The sequence below is a fragment of the Homo sapiens genome, chromosome Y (genome assembly GCF_000001405.40).
Source record: "Homo sapiens chromosome Y, GRCh38.p14 Primary Assembly".
Classification (NCBI taxonomy): Eukaryota; Metazoa; Chordata; class Mammalia; order Primates; family Hominidae; genus Homo; species Homo sapiens.
This window is the reverse complement of record NC_000024.10, coordinates 21806333-21827874: the sequence shown is the minus strand read 5'-3', so window position 1 is coordinate 21827874 and position 21542 is coordinate 21806333. Positions and strand designations below refer to the sequence as shown.

Sequence of the window (21542 nt, the reverse complement as noted above, 5' to 3'; positions counted from 1 at the left end):
ATCTACGGTGGCCTCCTTCTCCACCAAGCCCCAGGGACTTGTTGCTAGGCAACACTGTCATTCATTGTGACGCTTGCCAGAGCTCACAACTCTGGCCTGGTGACAGGACACTAGCACATTTGCATTCGTGTCACAGGCTTGGGGGTCCAGCTCTCAGAGCTGTCAGCCTGTCTAAGCAGAGAAAAATGGTACAGGCAGAGCTGGCCTGGTGCTGGGAAAATGGCTGCCTGAGATAACCCACTGAGAGACCCTAAAATTCTCACCCTTAGGTCTTTTTCAAGCCATCTTCTTGGTCGGGTTTCACTAGAGGTGGAGCCAATTTGAGACTGTGGCCTGGTCACTGGAAACTGCACTTCTAACTCCATTCCTGAAAGAGGCTGTGAGCAGGAATCGGGTCCCATAACAATTGGAATATAGTCTGGTGAGTCGTTGAGGGGTCTCTGGGTGATAGAATCATACCTGAGACTGCAGAGGCAGGTGTCAACAAAACATGTCTGTGCCCTGGACGTCACTGCCTGCCTTCATCCTGGGCCTCACAGGTGCTCTCTGGGAAAGGCAGGAACCACGACAAAGGCAAGTATATGGTGGAGTAGTGTTCTCACACCACGAACTGGCCTCTCATGGGTGCAGATGAGGTTGAGACAGTGTCTCAGAGGCCATTTGTTGTGACCGTAAGCCTGAAAAGGGTGTGCAGTAATACTCTTTAGGGGCAATGTGTACTCTCCATGAAAATGAGAAAAAATCAAAGCTCCTGTGAGAGAATCAGCTGAATTGTGTTGAAGTCCAAGCAATGCTGAAACACTACTTTCAGAGGACCCAAATCCATCTGCAAAGTGCAGACAACCTCAATCCCCAAGACGAGACCACAACCCACAACCTGGAGTGAAGTCAGCCTACCTGAAGTCTCTTTTGCTCTCTGAAATCTCCAGCAAGGATCTGTGGTGAGAGACAGTCCCATACAGCAACAGCCCAATGAAACACCCACTCCTCAGTGAGAAAGGACATGCAAGCACAATGAAACAGAGTCTAAATTACCAGGCAAAAGCCAGACATGGCTACCTGCTTTTCATCCTACAGGAATCATGCAGCCCTCACATAGAAGTGGGAGAATAAGAGTTTTCTTGTTGGTGGCTTTAACAGGAATTTACAGTTTTAAAATATCTCAGATGTGCAGTCATTAAAACATGACGGTGTTTAGAAGGAAACACTCACACAATTGATTCTCATGAGGGTCGTCCTCTGTGAACTAGGAAATATTTAGTGTGGACGGTATTGACCAGATCCAGGATGAGGATCATGAAAGTAAGGAAAAGAAGAGGCAAGTGTAGGGGTCACATCCCACCCAGCAACTATCCATCTTGCTTTCATCTGGCTCCTGTTATCAAAGCCCTCAAATCAGGAGTTTGCCAGGATGGTCCCAGTTTGCACTGCACATGTTCCATGCACGTTGAAGTACTCCCACCTCAACACTGGGTCATCATGTGGACTGCTTGTACAGTTAAGAGAATGAAAGGATGCAGTTGGAAGTAACTTCTGTGTCAACTGTCTTCACCATTTTTCAGGTGAAGGTGCAGGACCCCATCCACCCCTCACCAGATTGTATCCACACACCTAACTGACCTTATTGCTGTTCACACTCTCTGTCCCAGAACGAAGATGACAGAGGACTGTCCCCTCATGATGTGAAGCTCCTACTCAACCGATAACCAAATGTGATGTAAATTCAATGGGGTCTGCAGACAGGAATGCTAGTATCCCTCCTTGGGTTGGCCACAGGACAATGAAACACTAGATGTCTGTTTATGGGTGTGGTGTGCTCCTCTTCTTTCTGGAAGAGTGGCTTCTTTTGCAGGGGGAGGTGATTTGGATCCCAGCTGGTCTCAGTCAAACTCCCAATTCACTATAAGTTCATGACCCACAGAAGAATGAATAAAAAACACGGAGCCATATAGCCCAAGCAGAGCCACAGAGACAGCCCACCAAAAGCTTGGAGGAATAAAAAAACAAAAAATACAAAAAGCAGCTCTGCAGCGTGTTAGCCACATTTTTTTAAGCGGACTCCACTTATAGGCATACAGACAGAGACAGAGACACAGATACACCCACCCACACACACACACACAGCCACACACAGGCAGATACCCAACAATTGCAACACTCTCACAGAATCACACAGCCCAGTAGCTTCTGAGGCTGCATGGTTCTGCAGACAGCCCCACTTGGGAGACAGCATCTTTGGGAATACAGGAGGGCTGTACCAATAAATCACAGTAGGGCAAATTTCGAAAAGACTCACCCCTACAACATCTAGGCAGGTCTGAGGCATCATGCAGATCCTTTTAGATCCTTAGGGATTTCGTGATTTATTCCTTGGGCTCTGCTTGAGGTTTCTTCAGGCTGCTCACGTCTGACCTCTCTTAGGAACATGGGACTATCCCATGGATCCCACAGATAAGGCAGGCAAGAGACCACTGCCGACGCACCTCCACCAAGGTGTCCTTCTAAGTCGAGCCACAGGGACTTGTGGCTAGGGAACGGAGGCATTTATTGGGATGTTAACCACAGCTCACAGCTCAGGCCCCGTGCCCTAAGACTAGCGCATGCGCATTCGCGATGGAGGCGCCCACGCTAGGCTGTCAGAGATGTCAGCCTGCCTATGCAGAGGAAAATGGTACCGGCAGAGCCTGCCTGATATCGGGAAAAAGTCCGCCTACGAAAACCCACTGGGAAACCCTGAAAGTCTTGATCTTAGGGCCCCTTCGAGTCATCTCTGTGGTCGGGTCACGCTGGAGGTCAAGGCAATTCACGACTGTGAGGTCGTTGCTGATAACTGCTTTTCTGACTCCATTCTTGAAAGAAGCTGTGTGCAAGACTCAGGTCCATGGTGATTGGAATATAGTGTGGTGTGTTGTTGAGGGTTCTTTGGGAGATAGAATCATACTTGAGACCCCAGAGGCAGTTGTAGTGTCGAAATATGGCCAGGCTGTTGACTTCACTGCCTCCCTTCATCCTGGGCCTCACAGGGGCTCTCTGGGAAAGGCAGGAACCAGGACAAAGGCAAGTCCAAAGTGGATCAGTGTTCTCACCCCTCGGACTGGCCTCTCACAGGTGCAGATGAGGTTGAGACAATGTCTCAGAGGCCATCTGTGGTGATAGGGATGTCCAGTAGTGCTGTTGAGGGGCACTGAGGATTTCCTATGAGAGCAAAGAGAAATCAAAGCTTGCCTAAGAGAATGAGCTGCCTTGTGCTGGAGTCCAAGCAATGTTCAATGATTTCTGTGAGAGGACCCAACAACCTCCTGCTAAGTGCAAACAACCTCAGCAACCACAATAAGAGAACAACCCACAAACTGGAGTGCAGCCAGCCTACCTGAAGTGCCTCTTGCTCTCTGCAATCACTTTCAGCTGAATAATCTGTGATGAGACGCAGTCCCATCCAGTTCCAAAGAAAGAACCCCTCCACAATGAGAAGGCCATGTAGATGAAATAAAACAGGGGCTAGATTACCAGGCAAAAGCCAGTCATGGCTGCCTGCCTCTCATCCTACAGGAACCATGCAGCCATTTGATAGAAGTGAGAAAACAAAGAGTTTCCTTGTTTGTGGCTGTAGTGAGAATTTATGGTTTTAAAAGTGTCAAAGCAGCCCAATCATTAAAACGTGACAGTGTTAAGAAGAACACACTCACACAATGGATTCCCATCAGGCATGTTGTCCATGAAGTTGGAAACATTTAGTGCGGAAGTCATTGAGCCAGACCCAGGAAACCCTAGGCCAATGAGGAACATGGAAGTAAAGAAAAGAAGAGGCAAGTCTGGAGGCCATATCCCACCCAACATCAACACATTCCACTCCCATTTGGCTCTGGGTATGAAAGCCCTCAAATGGGGAATTTGACAGGATGGCCTCATTTTGGACTCCAAATGTGGCTTGCACGTTGGAGTACTCCCACCTGAACACCAAGCCAAGATGTGGACGGCTTGTGTAATTAAGGGAATGCAAGGATGGAGTTGGAAGCACCTTTTATGTCATCTGTTTTCATTTTTGTTTTGCAGGTGAAGTTGCAGGACCCAACCTTCCCCTCAAGAGGTTGTATGATTGTATTCTCACCTCTGTCTTACCTTATTGCTGCTCACACTCTATTTCCCAGGATGAAATCCCAAGACGATTGAGGAGTGCCCCCTCAGAACTTGAAGGAACTGCTCAGCTGGGAACTGAATTCTAGGTAAATTCAATAGGCTCTGCAGGCAGGACAGCTAATGTCTCTCCCTGGGTTAGCTGCCGGACAGTGAAACACTGGGAAATGTCTGTGTGTGTGTGTGTGTGTGTGTGTGTGTGTGTGTGTGTGTTATGCTCCTTTTCTTTCTAGAAGGGTGGCTTTTTTTTTCAGGTGGAGGTGATTTAGTGCATCTTGGCACTCCTCCTAATTCACTGTGGATTGAAGATCCACAGAAAATCAAAGAACACTGAGCACCTCAGCCCTAGCAGAGCCATACGCAGGCCACCAAAAGGTTTGGAGACTCAAAAAAAGAAAGATTGAAGTGCATTATCCACATTACTTTAAGCCGATTCCACTTACAGGCACACACACATGCACACACAAACACACAATGACACAGACACATGCAGGCATCTGACACTCACAACACTCCCACAGAAACACCCAGCCCGGCAGCTCCTGAGGCTGCATGGTTCTGCAGGAAGCCACACCCAGGAGAGAGCAACCCCAAGGAACACAGGTGGGCTGTACCTACAAATCACAGTGGGAGAAGGTTCAAAAAGACTCACCCCTACATTGTCTAGCAGACCTGAGCAATCCTGCAGAGATTTTTGGATCCTTACAGATTTCACTGCTTATTGCTGGGGCTGTGCTTGACATTTCTTCAGGCTGGCTCACTTCTGTCCCCTCCTAGCGTCATGGGAATATCCCTTGCATCCCACAGAGAAGACAGGTGAGAGTCCACCACCTATGCACCCCCATGGGGGTCTCCTTCACTGTTAAGCTGCAGGGACTAGTTGCTATGCAATGGTGACATTCATTATGGCACTAGCCAGAGCTCACAATCACGGCTGGTGACCTGAGACTAGCCCATGCACATTCCTGAGGCAGGCAAGCAGAGGAAAATGGTACAGGCCAAGCCGGCATGATGTCGGGAAAAAGGCTCCCTGTAAAAACCCGCTGTAGGACCCTAGAAATCTCCACCTCAGGGCCACTTCAGGTTGTGTACGTGGACCGGTCCCACTGGAGGAGGAGGCGTTTTGAGACTGTGAGGTAGTTGCTGGAAACTGCTCTTCTGACTCCATGCCCAAAAGAGGCTGTGTGCAAGAATGGAATCCCTTGGGGATTGGGACATACTCTGTTGTGTCATTAAGGGTTCTTTAGGTGATAGAATCATACCTGAGATCCTAGAGGTGGGTGTCAGTGAAAGACGGCCAGGCTCATGACCTCACTTTCTCCCTTCATCCTGGGACTTGCAGGGCTATCTGGGAAAGGCAGAAACCATGACAAAGGCAAGTCCACGGTGAAGCAGTTTTCTCACACCTCGGATTAGCCTCTCACAGGTGCAGTTGAGGTTGAGACAGTGTCTCAGAGGCCGCCTGTTGTGATGGGGATGTCCAGTAGTGCTGTTGGGGGGCACAGTGGATTCCTCATGAAGGCAAAGAAAAATCAAAGCTCGCCTGAGAGAACAAGACACCTTGTATTTGAGTCTAAGCAATGTACAAAGATTCCTGTCAGAGGACCGTAAAGCTTCCTGCAAAGTGCAAACAACTTCAACTCCCATAACGAGAGAACGACACCCAACCTGGAGCACAGCCAGCTTACCCAACGTCTCTTTTGCTCTCTGAAATCTGTGGCAGCTACATAATCTGTAGCAAGAAACAGTCCCATCCTGCAATATCTCAATGAAAGAGCCCCTTCACAATGAGAAACCTGTGCAGATGAAATGAAAGAGAGACTAGATTACCAGGAAAAAGCCAAACACAGCTGCCTGCTTCTCATAATAAAGTAATCATCCAGCCCTCCGAAAGAAGCAGGAGAACAAGACTTTCCTTGTTGGCAGCTGAAATGGGACTTTACAGTATTAAAATTATCAAAGCTGCCCAGTCATTAAAATGCGACAGTGTTTAGAAGGAAGCACTTTTGCAATGGATTCCTATGAGGGTCATTCTCTGTGAATTGGGAAGAGTTTAGTGTGCAAGTCCTTGAGCCAGACACAGGAAACCCTAGGCTGACTGGGAAAATGGAAGTCAGGAAAAGAAGAGGTAAGTGTGGAGGCCACATGAAACCCAGCATCAATCCATTCCAATCTCATTTGGCTCGGGGTATGAAAGCCCTCAAATCGGAAATTTGCCAGGTTGACCCCAATTTGCACTCCAAATATTCCTTGCATGTTGGAGTACTCTCACATGAACACTGGGCCATGGTGTGGACTGCTTGTGCAGTTAAGGGAATGCAAGGATGGAGTTGGAAGTGCCTTCTTTGTTACCTGTCTTCATTTCTTTGCAGGTGAAGTTGTGGGACCCCATCCACCCCTCACAAGATTTTATCCTCACTCCTATCTGACCTTATTGCTGCTCAAACTCTGTTTCCCAGAATGAAATCCCAAGACAATGGAGGAGTGCCCCTTCATGTTGTGAAACACCTGCTCAGCTGGGAACTGAATTCGAGGTAAATTCAAGGGGCACTGTGGACAGGACTGTTAATGTCTTTCCCAGGGTTGGCCACAGGAAAATGAAACACTGGGAGATGCCTGTTTTTCTTGGTGTTGTGTGCTCCTCTTCTTTCTAGAAGGGTGGCTTTTTTTTTCTCAGGGGGAGGTGATTTGGATGCCAGCAGGTCTCGATCAGCTTGCCACTTCACTGTGGATTAATGATCCAAAGAAAAATAAAGAACACAGAGCCCCGCAGCCAAAGCAGAGCCACAACCACAGGCTACCAAAAGGTTGGGAGACTCAAAAAAAAGAAGTGCTGAAGTGTGTTAGCCACATTCCTTTAAGCCTACTCCATTTACAGGCACATTCCCCCCTGCCCTTCCCACACACACACACACACACAATGCCACACACACACACACTCAGACATGACCACTCCCAACACTCTTACAGAAACATACAGCCAGCAGCTCCTGAGGCTGCATGGTTCTGCAGGAAGACCTACCAGGGAGAGAGCAACCCCCATTAAAACAGGCATGCTGTATCTAGAAATCACAGTGGGGCCAGTTTCAAAAATCTCCCCCCCTACAAAGTCTAGGCAGGCCTGAGGAATCCTGTAGTTCCTTTTAGATCCTTAGGAATTTCGTGGTTTATTCCTGGGGCTTGTTCTTGACATTTCTTCAGACTGGCTCATGTCTGCCCCCTCCTGCGATCATGGGACTATCCTGTGGATTCCCACAGATAAGACAGGCAACAGTCCACAACCAACACACCTCCACGGAGGTCTCCTTCTCCGTCAAGATGCAGGGACTTGTTACTACGCAACGCTGACATTCATTTTGACGCTAGCCAGAACTCACCATCAGGCCTCGTGCCCTGAGACTAGCGCACGTGCATTCATTAGGCAGCTCCCGGAGCCCGACTGTCGGAGCTGTCAGAGTTGAAGAAGAAGATGGTTCAGGCAGAGGCAGCCTGTTATCGGGAAAAAGGCTGACTGCGAAAACCCATTGCAGGACCCTAAAATTCTCCAACTCAGGGCCCATTTGGATCTTCTACACGGTAGGCTCCCGCTGCGGGAAGTGGCATTTCAAGACTGTGAGGTGGTCGCTGGAAATTGCTTTTCTGACTCCATTCTGGAAAGAGGCTATGTACAAGAATCCGGTCCCACTAGGACTGGAATATAGTCTGGTGTGTTGTTGTTGCAGGTTCCTTAGGTGATAGAATCATACCTGAGACCGCATAGGCGGATGTCCGCGAACGACAGCCGGCTCTTGCCCTCACTGCCTCCCTTCATCATGGGACTCGCAGGGACTCTCTAGGAAAGGCAACAACGACGGCAAAGGCAAGTCCAATGTGGAGCCGTGTTCTCACACCTTGGACTCGCCTCCCACTGGTGCAGATGAGGTTGAGACAGTGTCTTAGAGGCCGTCAATGGCGATGGCAAGCCTGGAAAGGGTGTCCAGTAGTGCTGCTGAGGGGCCCTGTGGATTCCCCAATGAAAGCAAAGAAAAATCAAAGCTCCTCTGAGAGAACTAGCTGCCTTTTCCTAAAGTCCAAGTTCCACCTCCCGGGTTCATGGCATTCTCCTGCCTCAGCTTCCTGAGTAGCTGGGACTACAGGCGTGTGCAACTACGCCCAGCTAATTTTTTGTATTTTTAGTGGAGATGGGTTTTCACCGTGTTAGCCAGGATGGTTTAGATCTCCTGACCTCGTGATCCACCCGCTTCAGCCCCCCCAGCTGCTGGGATTACAGGCATGAGCCACCGCACCTGGTCAAAATATTTTCTTTTAACAGGTTTTAGGATTTGATAAAACCAAAAAGATAGGAGCCTGCATCTTTGTAAACCCTAACAAGATTTTTCTATGTATTTTCCTTATAAAATAATGAAGCTAATTTTTAAGGAGAAGGATTATAAATTTAATTTGATTTAAATTACTTGAATTTTCTTGCTGACCATACCTAACCTTTTACACAACATTAGCAGCCACATTGAAAACAGTAAAAAAAAAGTGAAATTTTTAAAATATATTTAATCTGATACATCTAAAATATTGTTTTAACAGGTATTCAGTATAAAAATACTAATAAGATATTTTACATTTATAGCTTGTATGAAGTCTTTAAAATCTCATCTGCTTTTTAAATTTAAATCACATCCCAGTTCAGACTGACACCTTTCAAGTGTCAATGGCCCAATGTGGTTTAAGGTTCTGATTTTGACAGCATTTGGAAAATACAGAAAAGTAGATGTAAAAACATGTCTAAAGTCATGCCCACCAGAGCCAAACACCATCAGTGCTTTAATATACTTCAGCCAGACTTTTTTCCTGTATGCATACTTCTTTGGTGGGTGCTATACATGGTTGAGATTGTACTCTGGGTTCAGATTTGCACTCTGCTATGTGGTTGATTCAGATCCACAGCTGGTTTGAGGGCCACTGGACTAATGGAAGAAAGAGTCAGTAGACCCCACTTTCGTCCCAGTTATGCTGTTATGTTGTCACTTATTAACCTATAGTGGCATTTGTTCTTTATCTGTAAAGCGGAGGGTTTGAAGTGTGTGCTGGTTGTGCTGTTATGTAATCACTTATTAACCTATATTGGCATTGAATGTGAAGTCAGCTTTAACCAAAGTCCAGTGAAGACCTCCATGCCTTTGCACTTAGAGAGTAGGAGAAGACTCCAGTATTTTCTAGCTTAAACTCTACTATTGGTTTTCTTTTTCCTCTAACATTTTTCATGAGCATTTTCAAAACATAGAAAAGTTGAAACAATTCTAGCTAACACTTATATACCACCTAGATGGCACTATTATATTTGTATTATACTTGCTTCATCATTTTTATCTGTTCATTCATGCATCTGTGTTACTGTCTTTGTGTATTTCAAAGTAAATTGAAGACACCTGCACTTTCCCCTAAGTGTAATTTTTACTTTTAAACCAGACGTCTGCCCTCTTACACACCTGACCACACTTCTGTGTCTTAATTTGACCTGTTGCTTTTCAATAGCTGAGAAGTTTGGGCTTATAGATGATCAGTTTGCAGAGGCTTACCCTCAGCATATCAAGATTGAGTCTTTGGAAATAAAGCCAAGTGAATATAAAAGAGAAGTAGAAGAGCAAATTGGGCAGAAACATGTCAAAAGGTAAGTTTTATCTTATTACTCTTCACAAGTTTGTCTTCTAAAGACTTAATCTTAGGTCTATCAAAAATATCTAGAACTTTTAATACAGAATGTGATAGTATACTGTTGTGCATATTTTTTTCTCACGACATTTGTTTATGTCTTTTGAGTGAGTCCTACAGATACAGTGAATGAGAAAAAAGTATAGATGAAATAAATAGAACATATTTGGACAACATATTTGGACACAGCATTAATGTTGGGCCTAGCTCTGGAGAAATAATTTGTTACTGTTTTTATAGTGTAATAGTTGGAATTTTAATTTTTTGATCAATTTGCCATTGAAGTTTTTTAAAGATGCCAAGATAACAAAAATTGAAATGGAAGTGAAAAGAAAGTATGAGAAGGAATTAGTTGTGTTCCAGAATGATTTTGATAATGCTTGTCAAGCACAATCTGAAGCCCTCATTCTTTGTGAAAAGAGTATCCCTTAGATAAATGACAAGCACCATGAGGTGGTATTTACAAATATTTCACTGGGTGGCTAATTCCTGCAGCTATCAGTAGGTTGTCTCAAGATCCAGGAACAAGATTGTACAAGTGATGGAACAATGCCCCAGAAGTGCCATAGGGACTGGAGCCAAGAGGGCAAAAGAATCAAATAGAAAGAAGGATGGACCTTGAAAAGGATACACATATTTGCTTCCTCTGAGACTGGTGGAAAGGCAAGAATTGCAAAGATGAACAGTCAACTTGGGATAATGAAAAACACACCCTTGAAAAGCTCCATATACTCAGACAATTTAGAGGGATAGATAATGAGTTGTAGGAGCAGCTTGGAGGTGCAGACTAGCTCATGTGGGTAAGGGAAGAATAGCTCCTTAAAGCAGAGAGGACTGATCACCTGTACTGAGGGCCCAACTGTGGTTGGGCTAGCCTGGAATTGAGAGGAACCAAACCACATACTTGTAGGTGAGTTTCCTGTTCTAGCTCTGTGGAGGAATTGTAAGTGTCTTTCTCTTCTGTCCCTTTCACTGAGGGTGGAAAGATGGAGATGCTTCAGAAATGGAGGCTTGCAGAGCCTAATTTGTTTTAATTGAGAAAGGCAGCCTATTTAATTGAGGATTCTGGGGCTCTCTTGGGTAGTGAAGGGAAGCAGAGGAGACGGCAGGTGGCTGCTAACATGGGAGAAAGGGAGGGTTCAGTGGCAGTCTCAGTGATCAAGGACCAGATCTGGAAAGACTGGCAGGTGGAAGAATAAGGATGGCCCAAGAGTACAGAACTGCAGAATGAGCATTCAGGTGGAGACTGGAAATCAAAGACAGTATGCTGCCATTGGAGGCAGCCATGGAAACGAGCAAGAGTGAAGATCCCTGGGGTAAAGGAGTCACCAGAGCCACAAGGGTCATCCATGTGGCCATTTGATATCATCAGCAGGAAAGTAACTGGATAGGACACGAAGACGATGAGAAGTGGCAGGGAGTCCCAAGTTGGCAAGTGGGATTAGATCTACTCCTTTAAGAAATCTTACTCCTTTTCCAAGGGTATGTCTCAGACCAGACTGGATTTACTGCAGTATTTCCAGCATACATACAGAATGGCTGCTTCCAGACATTAACAGTAGGAAGGCGTCCCCCTAGGGTCCACTCTTGCTTAGGACTTCTCATTGAGACCTAGTTATGTAATGTGAGGGGCACCCCTCTAAAATTTTATATAGCACTTCTGTGAATTGGGCTTGCTTCAGCTATAAAAATGAGTTTTGGAAGCACAGATCTTCAAGGTGATTGAAATGTTTTTAGACTAATAACTTCATCTTCAAGACAGTTGACTGACTAGATTCCTGTGTATTTAACTGCAAGTATCTGAAAGCTTTGAGGAAGACTGCCAGCCTCATAAAAAGCACCATGTCTGTATTTCCTCACCTGGAATATCAACCCCCTTCTCTCCCTGATAAAAGCATAGTGTCATTCAAAGCTAGTGAAAACACAACAGGTTTAAACGAATATACGTCTTCCTTGTTGGAATGCAAGGTTTCAGCCTTATTCAACTAGTTATTCTAGCTTCATAGTATTTACTCCTCCAAATCCTGTTAAACTACATTTCCATATATTCCTAACATGCCTTCTGGAATGTATACTACTTAGTTGTTTAACATCTCAGTCCCTTATCCAAATATATATCAAATATATATATATAAAATATATCATATATATATCATAAATATATACACACATACATACATATATATACAGTCATGGATAACACTGCAGGACCCTGTCTCTCGTCTCTCTCTCTGTATATATATATATACATATGCACACATATGTAATTGATATACATATATATACACACATATGGAATTGATATACATATATATATACACACATATGGAATTGATACTATGGTTGATTTGAAGTCTCACTATGGACACTATAAAGACTATTCTGTTTTTAAGTATTTGGAATAGTTAAGAATAAGTATGGTTAAGAATAAATTATAATTGATTTGAAGTCTCACTATGAAGACCATTCTATTCTTAAGTATTTGGAAGTCCTGAATGATATATCTATCTTTTGCTCTCTCTTTGAATACTTCAATATTCAATCAATGGTCCTTGTTTTTCATGGTTTTCTTGTTTTGTTTTATTTTGGTTTTGTTTTGGTATTGGGTTAAGAGACAGGGTCTTCCTATGTTGCCCAGGCTGATCTCAAACTCTTGGGCTCAAGTGATCCTCCTACCTCAGCCTTCTGAAAAGCTCTAATTACAGGTGCAGGTGACCACACTTGGCTAAAGCTGATACATTATTAAGCGACAAAAGCAAATATTGTAATGTAAATATATATGGACTAATTAACTGAACCCCACAGTTAGAAATAGCATTATAGAAGATTCGGGTACATAAATATACTTTCTTTTATTTCTTTTCTTTTCTTTTCTTTTTTTTTTTTCTGAGATGGTGTTTCACTCTTGTCACCCAGGCTGGAGTGCAATGGTACAATCTTGGCTCACTGCAACCACCGCCTCTGGGTTCAGGTGATTCTCCTGCCTCAGCCTCCTGAGTACCTGGGATTACAGGCATGCACCACCATTCCCAGTTAATTTTGTATTTTTAGTAGAGACAGGGTTTCACCATGTTGTCCAGGCTGATCTGAAACTCCTGAACTCAGGTGATCCACCCACCTTGGCCTCCAAAACTGCTGGGACTACAGACATGAGCGAAAGTGTCCAGCCCATAAGTACACCTTTATTAGTTTGTAACTAATAGTATCATTCTTTCATCCCAGAATTGATTTTGGCCATTTATCACTGTAACTATTGTTTAAGTGTTAATTATCTACCATGAGAAACCACTTCCCTCTTGAGGCTCTCCCACTTCCCTTAGTCAGAGACTCTCCCACTCTTCTCAGTCAGATGCCACAGCCCCCTGGTTCTGCTGGTTTTAATACCCTGTAACCAGGCCAGTTCATAAAATACGCTGAGGACTTCTGGCTCTTTTCTTCTATTTCCCAGCAGTAATGGTCATTAGCAGTTTTCATCTGTTAAACTAAAAGCATGTCACATGATGTTTTTCCTAAATTTGTTAACTCAGTTATTATGGTTCATTTACTTTATTCATGTATTTGTTTATTTATTTATTTATTGCTAATTTCTGGACCCAGAAGCTCCAGAAAAACATAACAGCATGAGTGAGGACTTAGAAGATGAGAGCAGAATACAAAGTCTCTTGAGGAGAGCTATGACAGAAAGCTCAGGAGCAAAATTCTAAAGTAATTGTTTGGCACTTTTAAAGAAGTAGTATGTATAAATTAAGTTGGTAGAAGTATAACAAAAACTGAGGAAGTAGTCTATGATTAATATCTTATGCAAACTTTAGTGTTTGAAAAAATATATATGTCTATCAATAGCCAATACTTTCCTGCATTTGAGTTAAGGTAGTTTTTAAAAGATAAGCTATAGAGAAACACACCCTCTTTTCTTGTTACTCATGGCATCTCTAACATTTGTTGAGGGCTGTAATTTGCTTTAACTTTCAGGGCACCTTGTGACTTGCTCAGGTTGCATAGTAGATAAGCTGCAAAAGTTGAATTATAATCACTTTTAGTCACCTTTTCCTCTACCCCACTCATACTGCCACAAAGATGGGAATATCTAACAATATATAAATTATACATAGCTGTCATAGTATTTGTCAGTGTCCATGGGCCTTGTATTCCTTTATGATTCTGCAAAGTCAGAATCAAAAGAGCTAAAATTAACTATGTGAGGAAAATGTGATATAGGGAAAGGAAAAAATAGACTACTTTTGTTATTTTGGCTTTTCTTTACTCTGAACTTTTGTATCAGTGAGTAATATCTCAGTGCTAAGATACTATGTACTTGTGGTAATTTTCAGTGGGTGTGAAAGCATCTGACACATAAAAAGTGCTCAGTTAATATTTGTCATAAATGTGTCATGAGGAAAGGACTCACGTGCTCTGGGCATTTATGTGGCCTATTTTTATCACCTTCCTCATAATTTACCATCAATATTCCATTACATAATACTTGCAAACACTTGTTGAAGTTATTCTTCAAACAAATTCTATGTTTTTTATTGGACAGTTTTTTTTAATCAATTCTGAAATGATGTATTTTACCCACATTCTCTGTGTCTGTTTCTATACTAAAATAAGGAACCTGGAAAGTTCTTTACTGAAATTTTAGGAATAAATGAATTAAAGTATGTGTGTTAATTTATACTGTTGTGGAGCTAGTGAACTATTTGGTATCATAGTTACAGCTTCTACCGTCTGCATGGGGTCTGTCTGGCTTTGGCGATTCTCATACAACTTTGGCGAGTGTTGGAGTTTGGAAACTGTTCACCACAGGAGTGTTTCTTTGTCCTTTTGGAACCAAAAGGGCAGCTTGTAACCGCTTGGAAAGAAAAGTGAAAATTTGAAAATGTGCCTTTGGGTATTGCTAATTCAGATATAATGCCCTTGGCACATGTTTCCCAGGACTGTGCTTGGTCCCTGGGCACAAAATTTGTTACATTGGTTTGGGGTTGGCAGATACGACAAGTGGATTGGAAGTGACTGTCTAATTATCATTTGGGATTGAGTCTGTTGTGTGCTCTGTAAATTTAATTTTCTTCTGTGCTCTTTGGGTCAGCTGAGACCAACTGAAAAGTGATGCTTTCAGTAACCTCATAACAACACAACCCTCCATTTTGTGTGAGTAAGCTTTATAGCATCAAGGCAACATTTTACTGGACATTTTATGTTCGGAAGTTAGATCCCTGGATTTAGCACTGAGGGACTTTGAAGTTTACAAAATGTCGTGTTCAGTGCCCTCAGTTGCAGCTCTGACGTAGATTATCTGCATTGATAATGGTCTTTCCATAAAGATAACCGAGGAACTCATATTTAGTCGTTCTGATTCGCATGTATCAACTTCAACTAAAGGAGGACCACATCACTAGAACTAATGTACTGATTGAAGATGAAAGGAAGAATAAAGGTGATGTTTGGGTGGGGAAAGAAGCGTATTTTTCAGTTCTGATAAAGTTGATTAGCTTCCCAAGTTGGGTCTGTTCCTGTCCTGTATTCTGAAAAAATATAGCTTATACTCCATTGTTCCTACAAAATTACACATTTTTTTGTAATTCTAATTATAAAAAATTAAAAACATTGTCTTCACTGAGTTTTGAGAAACCCTCATGTTTAATATTATATGCATTCAGAAAGGCCTGTGATTTATCCTGGATATTTTACTCAACTTGATTTCAAGATATTTTGATAAATGTGTAAGTGTCCAGAAGTTGGCAGCAACTTATTGCCTGTGGTACATATTACTCCTAACCATGAGATACTTTATTTTACACTTACAAAAAAGTTTAACTTCTCTGTCCCATGTGGCATAGTTTCTTATTTCATTGGCTTCTAATGTATTTTTTATTTATAATATTTTACTTGATATATAACTTCCTGTATTCTTGTATGTATTGGCCTGAGACTGGAAGATGAGTAACTTTTCAATCTTCTGACATTCTACATTTCAATGTGTCTCTAGGAAATTGCCTATAATGAGAAGTAAATTTTTGGTAGAAATTTCAAATAGATTCTTGGAAGTAAACCAAGGATGGGTACTCGATGTTGACCAGACACCCTATAAGTGACTTCACCTTTTACTACTATCTTGTGGAGACTAACTCTTCTTTTATGGGTTAGTACCATCAGCTAGGTAATAAATTATACTTTGGTGATATAGCTACAGAGATTCATGACAGATGAAATGAAAATGACAACATAATAACTTTGGTACAGTAACATTATTGACTGTTACAATGTAATAACAGACAGATCTTTGTCTTCAAGGAAGTTAAGAACTATGAGTATTAGGGCCTTATGCTCTGAGCAGATGGTGTAACTCTGCTTAACATGTTTAGCAGGTGGAATTTCATGACATACATGGCAGATACAGTGTTATTTCTCACTTGCCCATGAAAGTTTTAACCCCTACATATGCTATTTCATATTTTAAAATAATGATCATTAGGTCTGGCATACTGGCCATGAATGTTAAACAGCTTTTATATTCACTAGGAAAATATTGTGGTGTTTAATGGGCTGTTTATTTCAGGAAAAGCTGTTTGTTTGCAAGGGGAGCTCCTAGTTATTAATGCAAAAAAGGAGGAACTCAATCAATCTGTAAATTGTATGAAAGAACTTAAGGTAATTGTTAAGCATATTGTTTTTTGAAATAGATTTTAAGCAGTATGTGAAATTTTAGTCATACATAATTTATCCCAAGTCACCTGTCTTTCCTTCAGCAAATCATTTGTCATGTTTTGAACAGAGTTTCACAGTTCTAGCAAATATAGATGGGCCATGCTATCTCACTGTTGTGACTGTCACTCCCTTAATGATATACAAGATTGAGCATCTTTTTGTTTGCTTACCATCTGTGTATCTTCATTGATGAGGTAGCTGCTCAGCTCTTTACCCATTTTTAATTGGATAGTCTGTCTTATTGTTGAGTTTCAATATTTCTTTGTGTATTTTCAGGGCAAGTTCTTGCTTAGATCTGTATTTTGCAGATATCTCTTCTCAGACTGTGGCTTATCTTTCTGTTTCCTGAAGAAGATTTTATGCAGAGTGTAAACTTTTAATATGAGAAGGCCTACATTGTTAATTATTTTTTTCTGTTATGGATAAGCTTTAGTGTCTTATGTTAAAACTCATGACCAAACCCAAGGTCACATAGGTCTCTTTCTGTGCTTTCTTCTACAAGTTGAATAGTTTTACACTGTAAGTCTCAGGACTATGTTGAGAAAAATTTTCTGTAAGTTGTAAAATGTGCCATCTCTGTTCATTTCATTGTCTGTGGTTTCCGGTTAATGGTCCCTTCATCATTTTCAGCAAAAAACAAACAACAACAAGAAAACCCAGGATAACAGGCAGCATTTCAGTTGGAATTTCCAAAATGATGGCACTGAACAATCTGAAGTCTGCTTTTATTTAGTGCCCCTGGCCAGTCAGAAAAGAATGCACAGCTGCCTCACCATGACCACCTGGGTCCTGCAGTTCTGCCAGCAGCCAGTACGGGACACATGAGCCTGCCTTTTCTGACCCTTGGAGGACCCGCGTGTTCAGCACATGCCACCTGAGGATGAGAGCTCCATTCTCCTCAGCACAGACTCCAGCCACACTGCCTCACTCCAGTTGGAGGCAGAGATAAGTAAAAACCTTCCTCTAACTGCTGAGGATCAGGGACCCACTAGAAGGGTTTTGTGTGGAAAATTAGAAACAAAAAAATATTCCTATGGCTCTAGTGCACCCCAAGGACTTTCCCCACACCCAAGTGTGGTGACCACAATGCCAGGTGCACGCCATGACCTCGTGACACAAATATAGCATTTGTCACACAATTATAACACCTACAATGGAGATACATCTGTAAACAAATATATCACCCATAATACAGTTGTGACACTTGTAATACTAATGTAACAACTGTAATATTGATCTGACACCTGTAATACAACTGTAAGACTCATAACAGCAATAAAACACTCAGAATACCAATATAGCATCTGAAATACAAATATAATCACCCTAATACTGATCAAACACCCTTAATAGAACTCTAACTCTCATAACACCAATGTCGATTCACAATACAAATGAAACATCCATAACACTGATGTAACATCTATAGTGCTCTCTTGACACCTGTAATACAACTGTAACACTCACAATACCAACATACAACTCATAATACCAATATGGCATCTGCAATACAAATATAACAACTTTCATACTGATGTAACAACTTTCATATTGATCTAACACATATAATACTAATATAGCACTCCTAATACCACTGTAACATTTGTAATACAAATAGAACAACAATAACACTGATGTAACACCCGTAAATACTGATGTGACACCTGTCATACAGATGTAAGACCTGTAATACTGACATAACATTCCTACACTTACAAAGGCAGTTGGTTTCACAGCTTCCACTGAGCTGGATTTCGCTCCTATAATGAAGTTTGATGTCGTTGTCTCTGCTTTAGTGACATGGTATTGACATGGTTGTTTTCATTGAAAAGGAGTTTACTTCCCAATAGTTTTATACCTCTAGGAAACTTGAAATAGCAGTTAGTATACTTTATCCTTTCTCCCAGATTCCCGACTGGTTGTTGCTGTGCCATATTTGCAGCTTCATTCAAAATATCCCACTGTGTTTTACAAAAAGTAGAAACACTCTCCCAAATTACCATCATGTAACTACCAAATCAGGAAATACAGGGTTAGTATTGGTAATTGTAATGGCAAAATATTTATTTACAAGCACAAATTTAATCCTGTCACTTTCCTGATTTAATTTTGCTAATGGTTTTGAGAGGTGAAGCCACCTGAACTTCCTGGGTTGAGTGGGGACTCAGAGAAGTTTTCTGTCTAGCTAAAAGATTGTAAGTGCACTAATCAGCACTCTGTAGAAACACACTAATCAGCACTCTGTGTCTAGCTGAAGGTTTGTAAATGCCCCAATCAGCACTCCATAAACATGCACCAATCAGTGCTCTGTGTCTAGCTAAAGGTTTGTAAACACACCAATCAGCACTCTATAAAATGGACCAACCAACAGAATGTGGGTGAGAACAAACAAAACAATAAAGGCTGGCCACCCCAGCCAGCAGCAGCAACCTGCTTGGGTCCCTTTCCACTCTGTGAAAGCTTTGTTCTTTTGCTCTTCATAATAAGTCTTGCTGCTGCTCACTCTTTGGGTCTGCATTACCTTTGTGAGCTGTAACACTCACCATGAAGCTCTGTGGCTTCATTCCTGAAGTCAGCAAGACCACAAACCCACCAGGAGGAACAAACAACTCTGGACATGCCACGTTTAAGAGCTGTAAAACTCACTGCCCAGGTCTGTGGCTTAACTCGTAAAGTCAGCAAGATAACAAACTGACTGGAAGGAATAAACTCCAGACACATCTGAACATTTGAAAGAACAAACTCTGGGCACACCATCTTTAAGAACTGTAATACTCACTGCGAGGGTCCAAGGCTTCATTCTTGTAGTCAGTGAAACCAAGAACTCACCAGAAGCAACCAATTCTGGACATGTTTTGGCGACCCTGAAGGGACACTCACTAAGCAGTGAGTATCATGGGACCCCTTTCACTTGCTATTTTGTCTTATTTTTCCTTAGAATTCAGAGACTAAATGCTGGGTACCTGTTGGCCTGTTAAGAGCAACTAGCATGGCCACCACACTAAAGACTTGGGTGTCAGGCTTTCTGGGAAAAGGCGCTCTAACAAACTCAGACTCTTCGGAGTTGGGAGTGTTGATTTGCCTGGAACCAGCTTCTGCTTTTCCTGTACTTCTGGGATGAGCCGCGGGTCACCAGAGAGGAAAGCCATTCAGTTGTGGGGTCCCAACAAGTTGATTGACCCAGCAGCCATGAGCAGAACTCTCAAAGTCATGTCGCCCAAGCGAGACTCACCCGTCTATCCTATCTATCATGATGCTTGCCTCCTGGGTCCTAATGCTTGTCAGACAAACTTCCTCTTGCCTTTCTTCTCCTAGGTTAGTCCTGCTTCTAAAAACCACTCCTTGTCACTGGAGTTTTCTAGTTCATCCTATAAGAATGATTTCTAGTATAAACTTCAGGGTGCTTTTACCTTCTTTAGCTCTCCAGGCTCACCAATCACAAAGACATAATTTTTGCCCAAAGCCCCATCATGGGTTGGGGTTACTATCTGGAATTTTAGGATCCTTCCTTAGACTAGCAGGTCTAAAAAAAGCAATGCCTGAAGCTAGGATATGGGGAGCTTCAGAAATGGTATCTTTCCTATTCATATGAGGACAAAAAGCATCAATCTTCCAACTCTTGAGATCCCTTCCCTTACTCAGGGTATGGTCCTCCACTTCATATTTGGGGTGTAACATCATTGTAGGACAGTTGTAAAGTCCCAATACTAACAGGAGAATGCTTAGGACTCTACAAAGTTTTCAAGAATCTGTCAGTAGGAGCCACTAAATCCAATTTTTCTTGGTCCCCTTTGTGGTCAAGGAGGACAGGAAAGGGTGCAGGTTTTTGAGAATGTGTCAGCAAGGGCCACTAAATCCAACCTCCCTCAGTCCTCTTTGTGGTCTAGGAGGAAAACTAATGTTTCTGCTGCTGCATCAGTGAGTGCAACTTTTCTAATCAGCGGGGTCCAGGGACCATTGTGGGTTTCTGGTAAAGAGGTGATTCTGCTGCTGCATCAGTGAATCAACTATTGTGATCAGCAGGGTCCAGTGACTGTTGTGGGTTCTTGGGCAAGAGGTGTTTCTGCTGTTGCATTGGTGAGCACAACTATTCTGATCAGCAGGGTCCAGGGACAATTGTGGATTCTTGGGCAGGGGCAGAAACAAACAAATCAAAACTGCTGGTGGTTTTGTCTTTCAGATGGGAAACACTCAGGCATCAACAGGTTCACCCTTGGAATGCATCCTAAGCCACTGGGACCAGTTTGACCCACAAACCCTGAAAAAGAGGTGGCTTATTTTTTTCTGCACTATGGCCTGACCCCAATATTCTCTCCCTGATGGGGAAAAATGGCCACCTGAGGGAAGTAAAAATTACAATACTTTCCTACAGCTTGACCTTTTCTGTAAGAGGGAAGCAAATTTAGTGAAATACCTTGTGTCCAAGCTTTCTTTTCATTGAAGGAGAATACACAACTATGCAAAGCTTGCAATTTACATCCTAGAGGAGGACCTCTCAGCTTACCTTCATACCCAGCCTCCACTAAACTCCTCTGCCCAGAGGGAAACAAGCAAAAGAAATCTCCAAAGGACCACAAAAACCCCCAGGCTATCAGTTATGTCCCCTTCAAGCTGTAGGGGGAGGGGAAATTGGCCTAACCTGGGTACATGTCCCCTTCTCCCTCTCTGATTTAAAGCAGATCAAGGCAAACCTGGGGAGGTTTTCAGATGATCCTGATAGGTACATAGATGTCCTACAAGGGTATAGAGCAAACCTTCAATCTCACTTGGAGAGATGTCATGCTATTCTTAGATCAAACCCTGGCCTTTAATGAAAAGATTGTGGCTTTAACTGCAGCCTGAGAGTTTGGAGATACCTGGTGTCTTAGTCAAGTAAATAATAGAATGACAGCCGAAGAAAGGCACAAATTCCCTACCGGTCAAGCAAGCCATCCCTTGTATGGATCCCCACTGGGACCTTGACTCAGATCATGGGGACTGGGAGTCATAAATAT

The 21542-nt window shown here is 42.6% G+C and overlaps 1 long non-coding RNA gene and 1 pseudogene across 3 annotated transcripts; both read left to right on the top strand.

Annotated features, from left to right (window-relative positions):
• Nucleotides 1-4067: 4067 nt before the first annotated feature.
• On the top strand, nucleotides 4068-18722 carry LOC105377236 (uncharacterized). 3 transcript variants are annotated; one of them, XR_938660.2, is made up of 5 exons: nucleotides 4068-4223; nucleotides 5477-6262; nucleotides 6507-6668; nucleotides 9664-9799; nucleotides 17179-18722. It is a non-coding gene; the product is annotated as an uncharacterized LOC105377236 (long non-coding RNA). The 3 variants fall into 3 exon arrangements; XR_938661.3 differs by lacking the exon at nucleotides 4068-4223 and having other exon boundaries at nucleotides 5298-6262; nucleotides 6594-6668; XR_938659.3 differs by lacking the exon at nucleotides 4068-4223 and having other exon boundaries at nucleotides 5298-6262.
• Nucleotides 9663-16488, top strand: OFD1P16Y (OFD1 pseudogene 16 Y-linked; annotated as a pseudogene).
• Nucleotides 18723-21542: the final 2820 nt, after the last annotated feature.